At 51.4% G+C, this 19,095-nt stretch overlaps 8 annotated features.

The window, feature by feature from the left end:
- Nucleotides 1,313–1,817: an enhancer, noted in NCBI's record as "H3K27ac-H3K4me1 hESC enhancer chr19:1887074-1887578 (GRCh37/hg19 assembly coordinates)". NCBI's record gives its function as "activates a minimal SCP1, AML or CMV promoter by ChIP-STARR-seq in naive H9 embryonic stem cells {active_cell/tissue: H9 hESC(naive)}" and the evidence as "EXISTENCE:reporter gene assay evidence [ECO:0000049][PMID:30033119]".
- Nucleotides 1,818–2,323: an enhancer, noted in NCBI's record as "H3K27ac-H3K4me1 hESC enhancer chr19:1887579-1888084 (GRCh37/hg19 assembly coordinates)". NCBI's record gives its function as "activates a minimal SCP1, AML or CMV promoter by ChIP-STARR-seq in naive H9 embryonic stem cells {active_cell/tissue: H9 hESC(naive)}" and the evidence as "EXISTENCE:reporter gene assay evidence [ECO:0000049][PMID:30033119]".
- Nucleotides 11,557–11,686: an enhancer, noted in NCBI's record as "active region_13632". NCBI's record gives its function as "activates an Ori minimal core promoter by ATAC-STARR-seq in GM12878 lymphoblastoid cells {active_cell/tissue: GM12878}" and the evidence as "EXISTENCE:reporter gene assay evidence [ECO:0000049][PMID:35858748]".
- Nucleotides 11,694–12,389: an enhancer, noted in NCBI's record as "H3K27ac-H3K4me1 hESC enhancer chr19:1897455-1898150 (GRCh37/hg19 assembly coordinates)". NCBI's record gives its function as "activates a minimal SCP1, AML or CMV promoter by ChIP-STARR-seq in naive H9 embryonic stem cells {active_cell/tissue: H9 hESC(naive)}" and the evidence as "EXISTENCE:reporter gene assay evidence [ECO:0000049][PMID:30033119]".
- Nucleotides 11,828–12,122: an enhancer, noted in NCBI's record as "tiled region #13932; HepG2 Activating DNase unmatched - State 4:PromP, and K562 Activating DNase unmatched - State 1:Tss". NCBI's record gives its function as "activates a minimal TATA promoter and a strong SV40 promoter by Sharpr-MPRA in HepG2 and K562 cells {active_cell/tissue: HepG2 | K562}" and the evidence as "EXISTENCE:reporter gene assay evidence [ECO:0000049][PMID:27701403]".
- Nucleotides 13,194–13,366: a silencer, noted in NCBI's record as "fragment chr19:1898955-1899127 (GRCh37/hg19 assembly coordinates)". NCBI's record gives its function as "represses an EF-1alpha promoter that drives an FKBP-Casp9 reporter gene in an ReSE screen in K562 erythroleukemia cells {active_cell/tissue: K562}" and the evidence as "EXISTENCE:reporter gene assay evidence [ECO:0000049][PMID:32094911]".
- Nucleotides 18,631–18,690: an enhancer, noted in NCBI's record as "active region_13633". NCBI's record gives its function as "activates an Ori minimal core promoter by ATAC-STARR-seq in GM12878 lymphoblastoid cells {active_cell/tissue: GM12878}" and the evidence as "EXISTENCE:reporter gene assay evidence [ECO:0000049][PMID:35858748]".
- Nucleotides 18,971–19,030: an enhancer, noted in NCBI's record as "active region_13634". NCBI's record gives its function as "activates an Ori minimal core promoter by ATAC-STARR-seq in GM12878 lymphoblastoid cells {active_cell/tissue: GM12878}" and the evidence as "EXISTENCE:reporter gene assay evidence [ECO:0000049][PMID:35858748]".

Here is a 19,095-nt window from a genome sequence, read left to right on the forward strand (position 1 = left end):
ATTTTTCTTTATGAGATGGAGTCGCGCTCTGTCGCCCAGGCTGGAGTACAATGGCGCGATCTCAGCTCACTGCAACTTCTGCCTCCTGGGATCAAGCGATTCTCCTGCCTCAGCCTCCTGAGTAGCTGGGATTACCGGCGCCCACCACCATGCCCAGCTAATTTTTGTGTTTTCAGTAGAGACGGGGTTTCCCCATGTTGGCCAGTGTGGCCTCGAACTCCTGACCCCAGAATCCTCCTGCCTCAGCCTCCCAAAGTGTTGGGATTACAGGCATCAGCCACCGCACCTGGCCTCTTTTTTTTAACATAGAGTCTACTCTGTCACCCAGGCTGGTGCCATCATAGCTCACTGCAGCCTCGACCTCCCAGGATCAAGTGAACCTCCTACTTCAGCCTCCTGAGTAGCTAGGACTATAGGCACAAGCCACCATGACCAGCTTATTTAAAGTCTTTATATATTGCTCATCAGAAATTCTTTTGCATTAGTTTTTAAAATATTACATTAGGCCGGGCACGGTGGCTCATGCCTGTAATCCCAGCACTTTGGGAGACTGAAACAGGTAGATCACCTGAAGTCAGGAGTTTGAGACCAAGCCTGACCAACGTGGTGAAACCCTGTCTCTACTAAAAATACAAATATTAGCCGGGCATGGTGGCACGCGCCTGTAGTCCCAGCTACTCCGGAGGCTGAGGCAGGAGAATCGCTTGAACCCGGGAGGCGAAGGTTGCAGTGAGCCAAGATCGGGCCACTGTGCTCCAGCCCAAGTGACAGAGCAAGAAGACTGTCTCAGATAAATAAATAAATAAATAAATAAATAAATAAATAAATAAATAAAACTATGATCACTCCACTGCATTCCAGCCTGGGCGAGAGAGCAAGATCCTGTCTCTTAAAAAAATTTCATTATGGGCTGGGCGCGGTGGCTCACGCCTATAATCCCAGCACTTTGGGAGGCCGAGTCGGGCAGATCATGAGGTTAGGAGATCAAGACCATCCTGGCTAACACGGTGAAACCTCATCTCTACTAAAAATACAAAAAGATAGCCGGGCGTGGTGGCGGGCGCCTGTAGTCCCAGCTACTCGGGAGGCTGAGGCAGGAGAACGGCGTGAACCCAGGAGGCAGAGCTTGCAGTGAGCTGAGACCGCGCCACTGCACTCCAGACTGGGCGACAGAGCGAGACTCCGTCTCAAAAAAAAAAAAAATTGCATTATGGCAGGGCCTAGTGGCTCACGCCTGTAATCTCAGCACTTTGGGAGAACGAGGCAGGCAGATCACCTGAAGTTAGGAGTTCAGCCTGGCCAACATGGTGAAATCCTGTCTCTACTAAAAATACAAAAATTAGGCCACCCTGGCCAACATGGTGAAACCCCATCTCTACTAAAAATACAAAAATTAGCCGGCTGTTGTGGCGCGCACCTGTAATCTCAGCTACTCCACGCCACTGCACTCCAGCCTGGGCGACAGAGCAAGACTCTGCCTCAAAAAAAAAAAAAGTAAAGAAAAGAAAATGGAAGAAGGTTACTGGAGAATCTCAGAGCGTGGTCAGGGCAGGCCTTTCTAAGGAAGTGACAGGGACAGGGGCAGAAAGGGCTGCAGACACCAAAGGGGCCCAGCCTGGAAGTGTGAGTGTGAATTGGTGGGAAGCCTTGCTTTTCAGGCCTTCTCTCATATGTGCCTTCCCCCCAGCTTTCGTGCCTTTTCCAGCTCAAAATGCTCCTCCAGCCTGCAGGCAACCGCAGCCCCCGCTCCGTCCCAGGGACTCTCATCTTAGCTCCACTGTTCTGAGATAAGCCTGAGGCTCCTGGGCCAATCCTGCCCCCAGGGGCTCATTCCTCAAATTCAGGACACAGCTGCCAGGGAAGGAATCAGGCTCAAAAGACTAGAGACTTAGAGATAGCCCAGGGTTTCTTTGCCTCATTTTCTTTCCTCTTTTTTTTTTTGGTTGTTGTTGTTTTGAGACAGAGTCTTATTCTGTCACCCATGTTGGAGTGCAGTGGCGCGATCTCGGCTCACTGCAACCTCCACCTCTCAGATTCAAGCTATTCTTCTGCCTCAGCCTCCCGAGTAGCTGAGCTAACAGGCACCCGCCACTGCACCCGGCTAATTTTTGTATTTTTAGTAGAGATGGGGTTTCGCTATGTTGGCCAGGCTGGTCTCGAACTCCTGACCTCAAGTGATCTGCCAGCCTCGGCCTCCCAAAGTGCTGGGATTACAGGCGTGAACCACCGCACCTGGCTGCTTTGCCTCATTTTCTGATTTTCCGGTGTTGTTGGACCTCTGGCGCCCCTGCTCAGGACTCAGCTGCCTGGGTCTCCCTGGGGCTGTCAAGAGCTGCCCCAGCGTTCCCCTGCCTCTGCTGTCCCCCTCGAGGCTCCCAGCCTCCGCTGAGGTTCTCCTGAGGTCCAAAGGCCAAAACAAGTCCAGGCTTCTTCCTAGGTCCTTGTGAATTCTCTGAGCACCAGGGCCAGAAGAGGCCTGTCCCCAGCCTCCTTCCCCCCTCCCATCTTCCCTGCAGCCCCTTCCCACTGTGAGCTAGGCAGGACCAGGGCTGGACCGCACCAGAAAGCCCAGCTCCACTTGTAAACGACAGCCCCCACAGGGACACAGGGAGACACCATCCAAGGGGAGGAGGATAAGCCCGCAGGGTGGCCCACCAATCCAAGGCCACCTGGTGAAAGGTAAACGCACGCTGTAAACACTCAAATGTCTCAGAAGGACACCCATCCCTTCCTCCTCCCCAGAGACCCTTTGTGATCGAGCCTCTGTCCCAATTGTCCCAGAAAATAGTGGGTGCTGTGGCTCATGTCTGAACCCCAGCATTTTGGGAGGCCAAGGTGGGAGGATTCTTTGAGGCCAGGAGTTCAAGGCTGCAGTGAGGTGTGATTGCACCACTGCACTCCAGCCTGGATGACAGAGGGAGATGCTGACTCTAAAAAATAAAAATGAGGGCTGGGCATGGTGGCTCACGCCTGTAATCTCAGCACTTTGGAGGCTGAGGCTGGAGGATCACTTGAAGTCAGGAGTTAAAGACCGGCCTGGCCAACGTGGTGAAACCCCATCTTTTTTACGTTGTTGTTTCTTTTTTGAAATGTTGTCTCTCACTGTTGCCCAGGTTGAAGTGCAGGGGGGTGATCTTGGCTCACTGCAACCTCCGTCTCCCGGGTTCAAGCAATTCTCTGCTTCAGCCTCCCGAGTAACTGGGATTATAGGCGCCTATCACCACATCCAGCTAATTTTTGTATTCTTAGTAGAGATGGGGTTTCACCATCTTGGCCAGGCTGGTCTTGAACTCCTGACCTCGTGATCCACTCGCCTTGGCCTCCCAAAATGCTGGGATTACAGGCGTGAGCCACCGTGCCTGGCCGATGAAACCCCATCTCTACTAAAAATACAAAAATTATCTGGGCATGGTGGCAGATGCCTGTAATCCCAGCTACTCTGGAGGCTGAGGCAGGAGACTCACTTGAACCCAGGAGGCAGACGTTGAAGTGAGTCGAGATTGTGCCACTGCACTTCAGCCAGGGCGACAAAGTGAGACTTGGTCTAAAAATAAAATAAAATAAAATAAAAAATGAAAATGAGGCCAGGTGCTGAGGTTCACACCTGTCATCCCAGCACTTCGAGAGGCCAAGCCGAGTGCATCACTTGAGGTCAGGAGTTCAAGATCAGGCTGGTCAACATGGAGAAACTCCATTTCTACTAAAAATACAAAAATTAGCTGGGTGTAGTGGTTCAAGCCTGTAACCCCAGCTACTCAGGAGGCTGAGGCAAGAGAACTGCTTGAGCCAGGGCGGCAGAGGTCACAGTGAGCCGAGATCACAGCGTTGCACTCCAGCCTGGGCGACAGAGCAAGACTCTGACTTCAAAAAAATAAAATAATAAAAAATAAGTCCGGGCGCCGTGGCTCACGCCTGTAATCCTAGAACTTTGGGAGCCCGAGGCGGGCGGATCACGAGGTCAGGAGATAGAGACCATCCTGGCTAACACGGTAAAACCCTGTTTCTACTAAAAATACAAAAAATTAGCCGGGCGTGGTGGCGGGCACCTGGAGTCCCAGCTACTCGGGAGGTTGAGGCAGGAGAATGGCGTGAACCCGGGAGGCGGAGCTTGCAGTGAGCTGAGATGGCGCCACTGCACTCCAGCCTGGGTGAAAATGCGAGACTCTGTCTCAAAAACAAATAAAAATAAAAATAAAAATAAAAATAAATAAATAAAAAAAAATGAAAAAAATCATACATTGAAAATGGGGGGAGCCACTAGTCCCTCTTCCCCTTCATGGTCTGCCCCAGCCATGCTGGCCTGGCCAGGAGTGCTGCTGCCTCAGGGCCTTTGCAGGTACTATGGCTCCTGCCTGCAGGGCCCTTCCCCATATGGCCCCCTGGCTTCCTTCTCCAGCATCCTCTGGCTCTACAGGAGGGCCACAACATCCAAGAGCTTCTGCTAACCACCCCAGCTAAATCCCAACCACATACATACACCTCTACCCCATTACCTCTATCCCATCACCCTGTTTATTTCCACTGCAATACTTACCACTCTCAGATTCTCTTTTTTTTGAGACAAGAGTCTCACTCTGTTACCCAGGCTGGAGTGCAGTGACTCGATCTTGGCCCACAGCAGCCTCCACCTCCCAAGTTCAAGTGATTCTCCTGCCTCAGCCTGCCGAGTAGCTGGGACCAAAGGCGTGCACCACCATGCCCAGCTAATTTTTGTATTTTTTGTAGAGATGGGATTTCATCATGTTGGCCAGGCTGGTCTCAAACTCTCAGGCTCAAGCAATCCTCCCATCTCGGCCTTTCAAAGTGCTAAGATTACAGGCGTGAGCCACCATGCCTGGCAATTGTTGGGTTTTATTCTGTTTTGTTTTTTGAAATGAAGTTTCACTCTTGTTGCCCATGCTGGAGTGCAATGGCACGATCTCAGCTCACTGCAACCTCTGCCTCCCGGGTTCAAGCGATTCTCCTGGGTTCAAGCGATTCTCCTGCCTCAGTCTCCCGAGTAGCATGCGCCACCACATTTAGTTAATTTTGTATTTTTAGTAGAGACGGGGTTTCACCATGTTGGTCAGGCTGGTCTCGAACTCCCGACCTCAGGTGATCCACCGGCCTCGGCCCCCCAAAGTGGTGGGATTACAGGGGTGAGCCACCATGCCTGCCCAATTGTTGTTTTTTTTTTTTTTAGTTTTATTTATGTTTATGGGAAATACATCTGCAAGATGTGGTGGTTACTCTTTTTTTTTTTTTGAGAGGGAGTCTCACTCTGTTGCCCAGGCTGGAGTGCAGTGGTGCGATCTCCGCTCACTGCAAGCTCTGCCTCCCGGGTTCACGCCATTCTCCTGCCTCAACCTCCCGAGTAGCTGGGATTACAGGCGCCCGCCACCACGCCTGGCTAATTTTTTAAATTTTTAGTAGAGATGGGGTTTCACTGTGTTAGCTAGGATGGTCTCAATCTCCTGACCTCGTGATCCGCCTGCCTTGGCCTCCCAAAGTGCTGGGATTACAGGCGTGAGCCACCGCGCCTTTTTTTTTTTTTTTTTTTTTTTGAGACGGAGTTTTGCTCTTACTGCCCAGGCTATAGTGCAGTGGTGCAATCTCAGCTCACTGCAACCTCCGCCTTCTGGTTTCAAGTGATTCTCCTGCCTCAGCCTCCCAAGTCTCTGGGATTACAGGCCCCTGCCACCATAACCAGCTAATTTTTTTTGTATTTTTAGTAGAGATGGGGTTTCACCATGTTCATCAGGCTGGTCTCGAACTGCTGACCTCGTGATCCACCCATCTCAGCCTCCCAAAGTGCTGGGATTGCAGGCATGAGCCACTGCTCCTGGCCAATGGTTACTCTTATGTGTCACCTTGACTGGGCTACCATATATATAGCTGGCACAACATCATTTCTGAGTATTTCTGTAAGAATGTTTCCGAAGAGATTAACATTTGAATCAGTGGAGTGGCTATACCCAGTTAATTTTCAATTTTTTTGTAGAGATGAGGTCATGCTATGTTGCCCAGGCTGGTCTCCAACTCTTGGCCTCAAGCAATCCTCCCACCTCAGTCTTCTAAAGTGCTGGGATTACAGACATGAGCCACCATGCCCGGCTAATTTTTGTATTTTTTTTTTTTTTTGAGACGAAGTTTCGCTCTTGTTGCCCAGGCTGGAGCACAATGGTGCGATCTCAGCTCACTGCAACCTCCACCTCCCGGGTACAAGCAATCCTCCTGCCTCAGCCTCCCGCGTACCTTGGATTACAGGTGACTGCCACCACCCCTGGCTAATTTTTGTATATTTAGTAGAGACGGGGTTTCATCATGTTGACCAGTCTGGTCTTGAACTTCTGACCTCAAGTGATCCACCCACCTCAGCCTCCCAAAGTGCTGGGATTACAGGCGTGAGCCACCGCGCCCAGCCACATATGCTATTTGTTTCGGGAATCCTCTCATGCAAAGCAAGGGGCCCCAGGAGCTGACCTGCCGTCTCCATGCTCAGTCCCCTCTTGACGGACATGTAGGGTGTTTCTGGCTTTGGCTGCAACAATAATGGCACATGAGACGTTTCACACTGATGGATAGGACCCTGCAGGGAGGATTCCTGGAAGAGGAGGTCCCATGAGAAGGTCCATGCTGCTGTGTTCAGAAAGCAATCCTGGGTCTCCCCCTGAGAAAACCCCCCACAGAGGGACCGAGATAGATGATGTGGGAGAACAAGGTACTGGGTGACTTTTTTTTTTTTTTTTTTTGAGTAGGAGTCTCACTCTGTCATCCAGGCTGGAGTGCAGTGATGTAATCTTAGTTTACTGCAAACTCCGCCTCCCGAGTCCAAGCAATTCTCCTGCCTCAGCCTCCCGAGTAGCTGGGATTACAGGTGCCCGCCACCACGCCCAGCTAATTTTTGTATTTTTAATAGAGACAGGGTTTCACCATGTTGGCCAGGATGGTCTCGAACTCCGACCTTGTGATCCACCCGCCTCGGCCTCCCAAAGTGCTAGGATTACAGGCGTGAGCCACCGCGCCCAGCCATAATTTTTGTATTTTTAGTAGAGACAGGGTTTCACCATGTTGGGCAGGCTGGTCTAGAACTCCTGACCTCCAGTGATGTGGCTCTCTTGGCCTCCCAAAGTGCTGAGATGACAGGCGTGAGCCACAGCACCTGGCCTAAAACTAGATTTCTCTTTTTTTTTTTTTTTTTGAGACAGAGTCTCGCTCTGTCGCCCAGGCTGGAGTGCAGTGGCACGAGCTCGGCTCACAGCAAGCTCTGCCTCCCAGGCTAAAACTAGATTTCTAAATAAGCTTTGTGATTAAATACTAATATTTATACTTTTCAGCATATACTTACAAGAATGGGACTGGGCGCGGTGGCTCATACCTGTACTTCCAGCACTTTGAGAGGCCGAGGCGGGCAGATCACGAGGTCAAGAGTTCGAGACCATCCTGGTCAAGATCGTAAAACCCCATCTCTACTAAAAATACAAAAACTAGCTGGGCGTGGTGGTGCGCACCTGTAGACCCAGCTGCTCAGGAGGCTGAGGCAGGATAATCGCCTGAACCCGGGAGGCGGAGGTTGCAGTGAGCCGAGATTGTGCCAATGCACTCTAGCCTGGGCGACAGAACGAGACTCCGTCTCAAAAAAATAATGGAAAACAGGGATTTCCATAGATATTTGCACACCTATGTCAGTAGTACCTTGATTCCCAACAGCCACAAGGTAGCAACAGTCCCAGTGGCTATGGACAGATGACTGGGTGAACACAGCATGGCCTATACACACGCTGGAATAGGAGGCAGCCATGAAAAGGAGCGAGGCCGGGCATGGTGGCTCACACTTGTAATCCCAGCACTTTGGGAGACCGAGGCAGGTGGATCACGAGGTCAGGAGATTGAGACCATCCTGGCTAACACGGTGAAACCCCATCTCTACCAAAAATACAAAAAATTAGCCAGGCGTGGTGGCGGGCGCCTGTAGTCCCACCTACTGGGGAGGCTGAGGCAGGAGAATGGTGTGAACCCGGGAGGCGGAGCTTGCAGTGAACCGATATCGCGCCACCACACTCCAGCCTGGGAGACAGAGCGAGACTCCGTCTCAAAAAAAAATATATAATATAATATAAAAAAAGAAAAAAGAAAAAAAGAAAAGGAGCGAGGCTCTGACTCAGGCCACAACGCGCGGATGCACTTTGAGGACGTTACACTCAGCGGGAGGCGCCAGACACAAAAGGACACGTCTTGTGTGATCCACTCCTAGGAGGTCCCTCGAGTCCTCAGATTCACAGAGACACAAAGTAGGATGGAGGCCGCCAGGAGCTGGGGAGGGGAATGGGGAGTGAGCGTTTCATGGGGCCAAGTTTCAGTTTGCAAAGATCAGAAAGTTCTGGAGGTGATGGTCGCACAACCGTGTGAATGAGTTTAATACGGCTGAACTGTGCACTTAAAATGGTTAAGAGGCCGGGCGCGGTGGCTCACGCCTGTAATCCCAGCACTTTGGGAGGCCGAGGCGGGTGGATCACGAGGTCAGGAGATCGAGACCATCCTGGCTAACACGGTGAAACCCCGTCTCTACTAAAAATACAAAAAATTAGCCGGGCGTGGTGGTGGGCGCCTGTAGTCCCAGCTACTCGGGAGGCTGAGGCAGGAGAATGGCGTGAACCGGTAAGGCGGAGTTTGCAGTGAGCGGAGCTTGCGCCACTGCACTCCAGCCTGGGCGACAGAGCGAGACTGTCTCAAAAAAATAAATAAATAAATAAAATAAAAGGGTTAAGATGGTCAACTTTATATTATGCGTATTTTACCACAACCAAATAAATCAATGTTCATAAAACCACGGAGTTAGACGAGCTGTTTGGTTAGCGCCAGCTTCGCAGGCAGAGGCCTCAGGGGTCCGCTGGGGACCCACACTCAGAGGAATCTAGGCATGATATAATGCTCTGTGGTTGCTGTCTCAAAATTCCTAAAAATTGGCTGGGTGCGGTGGCTCACTCCTGTAATCCCATCACTTTGGGAGGCCCAGGCGGGCGGATCAGCTGAGGTCAGGAGTTCGAGACCAGCCTGACCAACATGGTGAAACCTTGTCTCTACTGAAAAAACAAAAATTAGCTGGGCGTGGTGGCGCATGCCTGTAGACCCAGCTACTTGGGAACCTGAGGCAGGAGAATTGCTTGAACTCAGGAGGCGGAGGTTGCAGTAAGCTGAGATCATGTCACTACACTCCAGCCTGGGCGAGAGAGCAAGACTCCGTCTCTTTAAAAAAAAAAAAAAAAAAAAAAAAAAAAAAAAGGCCGGGCTCGGTGGCTCACGCTTGTAATCCCAGCACTTTGGGAGGCCGAGGCGGGCGGATCACCTGAAGTCGGGAGTTCAAGACCAGCCTGACCAACATGGAGAAACCCCGTCTCTACTAAAAACACAAAATCAGCCGGGCGTGGAGGCACATGCCTGTAATCGCAGCTACTTGGGAGGCTGAGGCAGGAGAATCGCTTGAACCCAGGAGGCAGAGGTTGTCGTGACTCGAGATAGCACCATTGTATTCCGACTGGGCAACAAGAGCAAAAAAACTGTCTTAGAAAAAAAAAAATTCTAAACATTTTTAAACAAGGGGCCCTGTATTGTCATTCTGAGCTTGGCCTCAAAGATTCTGTAGCCAGGCTTCTTTTGGGGAAAGGACCGGGAGGCCTCCTTCCAGGGTCAGGGGCGTTAAGCGCTGCGGAGGGATACCCCTCCCAGAGGGGAGAGAGTGGAACCCGCTCAGGAAGTGGGTTCCTGACATGAGAAGGAAGGAAGTTGGCGGGGGCATCTTAAAATAGCATCACCCAACCACGCGGTCAGAGGTGCGGGGAGGGAGCAGGGCCAGGGCCGGGGACCCTCCCAGCGACCTTCCCTGCAGGCACCCAGCCCCGTCCCCTCGACACACCAGACCCAGCACCCTCTGCTCCCACCAGCCCACCAGGAATTGGGTTATTTAAGTTATTTATTTATTTCCTTATTTTCTTTTTCTTTTGAGATAGAGTCTCACTTTGTCACCCAGGCTGGAGTGCAGTGGCGTGATCTCGGCTCACTGCAACCTCCACCGCCTGGGATCACGCGACTCTTCTGCCACAGCCTTCTGAGTAGCTGGGATTACAGGCGCCCGCCACCAAGCCTGGCTAATTTTTGTATTTTTAGTAGATACAGGGTTTCACCATATTGGCCAGTCTGGTCTCAACTCCTGACCTCAAGTGATCCACCCGCCTTGGCCTCCCAAAGTGCTGGGATTACAGGCGTGAGCCACCGCGCCTGGTCTATTTCTTTTTTTTTTTTTTTGAGATGAAGTCTTGCTCCCTCGCCCAGGCTGGGGTGCAGAGGCACAATCTCGGCTCACTGCAACCTCCGCCTCCCAGGTTCAAGCGATTCTTCTGCCTCAGCCTCCCAAGTAGCTGGGATTACAGGTGCCCGCCAACCACACCTGGCTAATTTTTGTATTTTTAGTAGAGACAGGATTTCACCATGGTGGCCAGGCTGATCTCAAACTCCTGACCTCAGGTTATCCGCCCACCTCGGCCTCCCAAAGTGCTGGGATTACAGGTGTGAGCCACCGCGCCTGGCTGTAATTGCCTCTTAAAGAGAAACAAGTCAGATTGGATTTGGGCGCACCCTCAGGACGTCATTTGAACCTAATAATCTCTTTAAAAAGTCCTGTCTCGGCGGGGGCCAAGCACAGTGGCTCAAGCTTGTAATCCAAATACTTTGAGAGGCCAAGGCAGGAGGATCACTGGTGCCCAGGAGTTTGAGACTAGCGTGGGCAACACAGCAAGACCCCATCTCTACAAAAAAAAAAAAAAATATTTGGTTAGCCAGGTGTCGGGGCACATGCCTGTGGTCTGAGCTACTCCGGAGCCCAATGTGGGAGGATCCCCTGAGCCCAGGAGTTTGAGGCTGTGGTGAGCCGTGATCAGCTCCCACTGCACTCCAGCCTGGGCCACAGAGAGAGACTTCCTATCTCCACGCCAAGTGCCTTAGGTCACGCCTATAATCCCAGCAGTTTGGCAGGCAGAGTGGGAGGATCACTTGAGCCTTACAAGTTCAAGACCAACCCGGGGCTGGGCGCGGTGGCACACGCCTGTAATCCCAGCACTTTGGGAGGCCGAGGTGGGCGAATCACGAGGTTAGGAGATCAAAACCATCCTGGCTAATACGGTGAAACCCCGTCTCTACTAAAAATACAAAAAATTAGCCGGGCGTGGTGGTGGGCGCCTGTAGTCCCAGGTACTCGGGAGGCTGAGGCAGGAGAATGGCGTGAACCCGGGAGGTGGAGCTTGCAGTGAGCTGAGATCACGCCTCTGCACTCCAGCCTGGACCACAGAGCGAGACTCTGTCTCAAAAAAATAAAAAAAAAATAGCCGGGGGTGGTGTCGGGAAGCTGAGGCAGGAGAATGGCGTGAACGCAGGAGGCGGAGCTTGCAGTGAGCCAAGATCATGCCACTGCACTCCTAGGCGACAGAGCGAGACTCCATCTCAAAAAAAAAAAAAAAAAAAAAAAAAAAAAAAAAGACCAGCCTGGGCAACTAAGAGAGACCTCTGTCTCTGCAAAAAAAAAAAAAAAATTTTTTTTTTGAGACGGAGTCTGGCACTGTCACCCAGGCTGGAATGCATTGGCGTGATCTCAGGGTTCACGCCATTCTCCTGCCTCAGCCCCCCGGATAGCTGGATTACAGGCGCCCACCACCACACCCGGCTAATTTTTTGTATATTTAGTAGAGACGGGGTTTCACCGTGTTAGCCAGGGTGGTCTCGATCTCCTGACCTCGTGATCCACCTGCCTCGGCCTCCCAAAGTGCTGGGATTACAGGCGTGAGCCACCGCACCCGGGTGACACTCCATTTTTGACCCCAGTGTTAGCACAGAGCTTTTAAACTTCCGCACTGCTGATGAGGGAGTGTGATTGTTCTCTGTTACCAGCACTGTCTCCCGCCCACCGGAGCCGAGTGTGGTGGGTGTGGACCTTCTGGGAAAGGGTGTAAACACGTGCTTAGATCCGGCCGGAAGCCCCGTGACCGGGGTGCAGCTGCCTTTGGTCAGTAGGTGGCAACCGTGTCCGCTTGATTTTGGGAGGGTCCGAGAGGCTGGTGCAGGGCTCCCAGGAGAGGCGGGGGCGATCCCACTTGCCTTGCCAGGATAACAGCAACAAGGGCTGCCCACGTGCATGCTGGGCAATAGGGATACCGCAGAGAATGAAAGTCCAGCCCTAGCAGGGCAGCAAGACCTCGACTCTACAAAAATTTCAACCACAACAAAAATTAGCTGGGCGTGACGGAACACATCTGTGGTCCCAGCTACATGGGAGGCTGAGGTGGGAGGATCGCTTGAGCCCGGGTGGCAAAGGCCACAGTGAGCTATGACTGCACAACTGCACTCCAGCCTGGGTGACAGAGGCAGATCTTGTCTCAAAAAAAAAAAAAAAAACAAAAAACAAAACAAAAACACCAAGGCCAGGCACGGTGGCTCATGCCTGTAATCCTAGCACTTTAGGTGGCTGAGGCGGGAGGATCACCTGAGATCAGGAGTTCCAGACCAGCCTGGCCATCACAGCGAACTCCCATCTCTACTAAAAATCCAAAAATTAGCCAGGTGTGGTGGCAGGCACCTGTAATTGCAACTACTCAGGAGGCTGAGGCACAAGAATCGCTTGAACCCGGGAGGCGAAGGTTGCAGTGAACCGAGATGTCACTGCACTCCAGCCTGGGGGACAGAGTGAGACTCCATCTCAAAAACAAAACAAAAAACACCAAAACGTCCTGTCCTGGTGGAGGTGAAATAAATGAGACATCCTTGGCCGGGCGCTGTGGCTCACGCCTGTAATTCCAACAATTTGGGAGGCCAGGCGGGTGGATCATGAGGTGAGACCGAGACCATCCTGGCTAACATGGTGAAACCCCGTCTATACTAAAAATACAAAAGTTAGCTAGGCGTGGTGGCAGGCATCTGTAATCCCAGCTACTTGGGAGGCTGAGGCATGAGAATCGCTTGAACCCGGGAAGCACAGGTAGCAGTGAGCTGAGATCGTGCCACTGCACTCCAGCCTGGGAGACAGAGCGAGACTCCGTCTCGAAAAAATATATGTATAGCCAGGCGTGGTGGCTCACGCCTGTAATTCCAGCACTTTGGGAGGCCGAGGCGGGCGGATCGCTAGGTCAGGAGATCAAGACCATCCTGGCTAATGTGGTGAAACCCCATCTCTACTAAAACTATAAAACAATTAGCCGGGCGTGGTGGCGGGCACCTGCAGTCCCAGCTACTCAGGAGGCTGAGGCAGGAGAATCGCTTGAACCTGGGAGGCGGAGGTTGCACTGAGCCAAGATTATGCCACTGCACTCCAGCCTGGGTGACAGAGCGAGAGTCCGTCTCAAAACAAACAAACAAACAAATCAGAAAGTTAATGGGATGCTGACGCAAAGAAACAAGCTGAACAAGGTGGTGACAGGGAAGTTGATACTGATTTTGGCCTCAGCCATGTGGAAACAGACAGAGGGTCTTGCGGGGAACTCCTCTCCTTTTTTGGACGCATTCCTGTTTTGTTTTGTTTTGTTTTGTTTTTTTAACTTTCTTAATTTTTTTCAGTTTTCGTCACACTTTGTCTAATACTATTTCTTTTTTGTTTTTGAGACAGAGTTTCGCTCTTGTTGCCCAGGCTGGAGTACAGTGGCACAATCTCAGCTCACTGCATCCTCTGCCTCCCAGGTTCAAGTGATTCTCCTGCCTCAGCCTCCCGAGTAGCTGGGACTACAGGTGCCCGCCACCACGCCCGGCTAATTTTGTATTTTTAGTAGAGACAGGGTTTTTCCATGTTGGCCAGGCTGGTCTCAAACTGATCTCATGATCCGCCTGCCTCGGCCTCCCAAAGTGCTGGGATTACAGACATGAGCCACCACGCCCTGCCTAAAATATTTGTTTTCATAATTAAAAACATTGTTTCTTAGCCAGGCCCTGTGGCTCATGCCTATAATCTTAGGACTTTGATTTTTTGTTTTTGTTTTTGTTTTTGAGACGGAGTTTCCCTCTTGTTGCCCAGGCTGGAGTGCAATGGTGCAATCTTGGCTCACTGCAACCTCTGCCTCCTGGGTTCAAGCGATTCTCCTGCCTCAGCCTCCTGAGTAGCTGGGACTACAGGCATGCGCCACCACACCTGGCTAATTTTTCGTATTTCTAGTAGAGACGGGGTTTCACCATGTTAGTCATGTTGGTCTCGAACTCTTGACCTCAGGTGATCCACCCGCCTCAGCCTTCCGAAGTGTTGGCATTACAGGCGTGAGCCACTGTGCTGGCTTTTTTTTTTTTTTTTTCTGCGACGGAGTCTCGCTCTGTCACCCAGGCTGGAGTGCAGTGGCGCCATCTCCGCTCAGTGCAAGCTCCGCCTCCCGGGTTCACGCCATTCTCCTGCCTCAGCCTCCCGAGTAGCTGGAACTACAGGCGCCCGCCACCACGCCCGGCTAATCTTTTTATTTTTTTTAGTAGAGATGGGGTTTCAGCGTGTTAGCCAGGATGGTCTCAATCTCCTGACCTCATGATCCACCCACCTCGGCCTCTGTACTTTTTTCCTATTGGCTGGGGTCGGGTCACACAATCTAAACTAACTTTGGTTGGCTAAACATTTGATTTTTTTTAGATAGGGTGGGTATGTAAAAGAAAGGGGAGGCCGGGCGCGGTGGCTCGCGCCTGTAATCCCAGCACTTTGGGAGACCGAGGAGGGCGGATCACGAGGTCAGGAGATCGAGACCATCCTGGCTAACACAGAGAAACCCCGTCTCTACTAAAAATACAAAAAATTAGCCGGGCGTGGTGGCGGGCGCCTGTAGTCCCAGCTACTCGGGAGGCTGAGGCAGGAGAATGGCGTGAATCCGGGAGGCGGAGCTTGCAGTGAGCGGAAATCGTGCCACTGCACTCCAGCCTGGGCAACAGAGCGAGACTCTGTCTCAAAAAAAAAAAAGAAAGAAAAAGAAAGTGGAGAGAATGGGGAAGGGGGTGTCTGTGATGAGCTAGAAAGTTAGTCTTTTTTTAAAATAAGGAAAGGAATGTAAGCTGATGCTGATAACGCTTGGTATTGAGGCGTGTCTAGGCATTTAACAAAGGCAAAAAGGAAAAAGAAAAAGAAGGGAAAGGAGGGGTACTATGAATTAAAGAATAAATGATTGATCAGATTATTTGAAGAGAAACCCCATTATATCCCACAACTAGAACCCCTGGCCTGAAGTGGTCCACCCGCCTCGGCCTCCCAAAGTGCTGGGATTACAGGCGTGAGCCACCACTCCCAGTCTTATTTTTATTTTATTTTGTTTTGTTTTGTTTTATTTATTTTTTTAGAGTCTCGCTCTGTCACACAGGCTGGAGTGCAGTGGCGTGATCTCAGCTCACCGCAACCTCCACCTCCCGGGTTCAAGCTATTCTCCTGCCTCAGCCTCCTGAGTAGCTGGGATTACAGGCGTGCGCCACCACATCCGGCTAATTCTTGTATATTTAGTAGAGACGGGGTTTCACCATGTTGGTCAGGCTGGTCTCAGACTCCTGACCTTGTGATCCACCCACCTCGGCCTCCCAAAGCGCTGGGATTACAGCTGTGAGCCACCATGCCTGGCCTATTTTTTTTTTCCTTTTTTTTTTTTAGACACAGTCTCCATCTGTCACCCAGGCTGGTGTGCAGTGGCGCAATCTCAGCTCACTGCAAGCTCCACCTCCTGGGTTCACGCCATTCTTCTGCCTCAGCCTCTCGAGTAGCTGGGACTTCAGGCGCCCGCCACCACGCCTGGCTTTTTTATTTTTAGTAGAGACGGGGTTTCACCATGTTAGCCAGGATGGTCTCGATCTCCTGACCTCGTGATCCGCCCACCTTGGCCTCCCAAAGTGCTGGGATTACAGGCGTGAGCCACCGTGCCCCGCCCAGGCCTATTTTTTTAAAGACAGGATCTCCCTCTGTTGCCCAGGCTGGAGTGCAGTAATGCTGATCAAAGCCCACTGCAGTCTTGACCTCTTGGGTTCAAGTGATCCTGCCACCTCAGCCTCCCAAGTAGCTGGGACCACAGGCACACACCACACCTGGGTAATTTAAAATTTTTGTGTAGAGACAAGGTCTCACTATGTTGCCCAGGCTGGTCTCAAACTCCTGGGCTCAAGCGATCCTTCCACCTTGGACTCTCAAAGTGCTGGGATTACAGGCGTGAGCCCCCGAGCTTGGTCCTGGTCATTTCTTGACTGCCTGTCACTTGGGGCCACCCAGCCCGCCAGTGTCTGACTTAGGCTTCTGGCTGATTCTCTGCGGCCACTAAGCTCACAATTGGGGAACCGACTCCATGATTTTGCAACATTTCGATGCCGGACCCTGACGCATTACTGTGAGTCGGGAGGGTCACGTTCCGTTTGTTTTTTGAGACGGTCTGGCTGTCACCCAGGCTGGAGTGAAGTGGCATTGGTGTGATCTCAGCTCACTGCAACCTCTGCCTCCTGGGCTCAAGCCATCCTTCTGCCGCAGCCTCCCGGCATGTAGCTGAGACTACAGGCGCCACCATTCCCAGCTATGTTGTTTTTTTTTTTTTAAAGAAAGAGACAAGGTCTCGCTGTGTTGCCCAGGGCAATTTCAAAATTCCTAGACTCAAGCAATCCCTCCGCCTCGGCCTCCCAAAGTCCTGGGATTACACTGGGATTACAGGTGTGAGCCAGCACACCGGCTGTGGGCCACATTACTTTTGAAAAGTTCTGGATAAAGGCCGGGCGCGGTGGCTCATGCCTGTAATCCCAGCACTTTGGGAGGCCGAGGCGGGCGGATCACGAGGTCAACAGATCGAGACCATCCTGGCGAACATGGTGAAACCCCCGTCTCTACTAAAAATACAAAAAAATTTGCGGGGCGTGGTGGTGGGCGCCTGTAGTCCCAGCTACTCGGGAGGCTGAGGCAGGAGAATGGCGTGAATCCGGGAGGTGGAGCTTGCAGGGAGGTGGAGCTTGCAGTGAGCTGAGATCGCGCCACTGCACTCCAGCCTGGGCGACAGAGTGAGACTCCTTCTCAAAAAAAAAAAAAAAAAAAAAAGAAAGAAAAAGAAAAGTTCTGGATAAAGAACAATGTCAATTAAAAAAGGGGTCCCATCAGTAGAGGCTGAAATCATGACTGAAACTAGCTTAAAGCCCAAAGCAAAACAAAAACCCGAAAGAAGGCCAGGCATGGTGGCTCGCACTATCCCAGCATTTTGGGAGGCTGAGGCAGGTAGATCACCAGAGGTCAGGAGTTTGAGACCAGCCTGGCCAACATGGTGTACTAAAAAATACAAAAATTAGCCAGCTGGAGCGCAGTGGCGCAATCATAGCTCACTTCAGCCTTGACCTTCTGGACTCCAGTGATCCTCCCACCTCGGCCTCCTGAGTAGCTGTCCCAGCTGTCCCACTTACTCAGTGCCCCTCCGGACCCAGCAATTCTTTTTTTTTTTTTTTTTGCAGAGATGGCAGCATGTCTCAAACTCCTGGCCTCAGGCAAACCTCATGTGTCAGCCTCCCAAAGTGCTGGAATTACAGGCACGAGCCACCATGCCTGGCCTAGATTCATTTTTTTAGATGCAGAGAATCTGGGCTTTGGATTTAATGACTTACCAAATAAAGGCTGTCTTTTTTTTTTTTAAAACAAATCAGCAAAACAGGGGCTCTTGGCTAGTTTGCATGAGGCATCCAGGGATGGAGAGATGTGTATTTAAGCTAAAAAAAGAAAAAGTGAAACTCACAGCAGTCTGAGTTTTTATTCAGAAAAGGAAAAAAGAAAGCAACTGAGAGCGAAATAGTTTCCTGGAATGCTGTTTTTTTTTTTTTTTTTTTTTTTTTTTTTTTTTGAGATGGAGTCTCACTCTGTCGCCCAGGCAACAGAGTGCAATGGTGCGATCTCAGCTCATCGCAACCTTCGTCTCCCGGGTTCAAGTGATTCTCCTGCCTCAGCCTTCCCAGCAGCTGGGATTAAAGGCCCCTGCCACCATGCCTGGCTAATTTTTGTATTTTTAGTGGAGATGGGGTTTCGCCATGTTGGCCAGGCTGGTCTCGAACCCCTGACCTCAGGTGATCCACCCACCTTGGCCTCTCAAAGTGCTGGGAGTACAGGCATGAGCCACCGCATCCGACCTTGAAATGCACTTTCTTTGAAACACGTCCTCCCCTTTCTCACCATAAACTCCCTCACACTCTGCAGGTTTACCTAACTGTATGCATCTAATTATGTGATTACCTAAAAGTTCCAGGAACAGGCTGGGCACGGTGGCTCACGCCTGTAATCTCAGCACTTTGGGAGGCCGAGGCGGGCAGATCACCTGAAGTCAGGAGTTTGAGACCAGCCTGACCAACATGGAGAAACCCCATCTCTATTAAAAATACAAAATTAGCCAGGTGTGGTGGCGTGTGCCTGTAATCCCAGCTACTCGGGAGGCTGAGGCAGGAGAATCACTTGAATCTGGGAGGTGGAGGTTGCGGTGAGCTGAGATCGTGCTGCTGCACTCCAGCCTCGGTGACAAGAGCGAGACTGTCTCGAAAAAAAAGAAAAAAGAAAGAACGTTTTAGAGCTAATCTGGAGACAGGCCAAGCACGGAGACCCACCTGCAAAATCCCAGAGATTTCCTCAAGGTGGTCTGCAACCCGGCCCTTATTAGGATGAGGCCAGCCTGCGCTTTTAAGCCACCAAAATTCATGAACACACAGAGCTTATAATCAGCACCTCCCCTGCACACCCACCATTCCCAGTTCCCCTTTTTTAGCCCCTCACCCCAGCCTCAAGTTTGAAGGGGTTTCTGGAGGCCTAAACCAGCTGCCTCCCTGCTGCGAACTCTGAAAGGAAGTCACCTTCCTTTCACTGCACTTTTTCCTCCTTACTGGTTTGTCAAGACTCTGGCATCGGAGCCTGAGCTGGTTACAGCCAGGCACTGTCAAGCTGTTGGGGGAGGGGATGACAAATTCCCTCCCGTTGAGAACCACTTGGTTAAACCTGTCCAACTGGAAGGAGTAACAAATTGCTCATAAAATATGCATGTTTTGGTGAAACCCCTTCTCTACTAAAAGTACAAAAACTAGCCAGAAATCGCTTGAACCCAGGAGGTGGAGGTTGCAGTGAGCCTAGCACTGCAC

Source organism: Homo sapiens, chromosome 19 (genome assembly GCF_000001405.40).
Source record: "Homo sapiens chromosome 19, GRCh38.p14 Primary Assembly".
Lineage (NCBI taxonomy): Eukaryota > Metazoa > Chordata > Mammalia > Primates > Hominidae > Homo > Homo sapiens.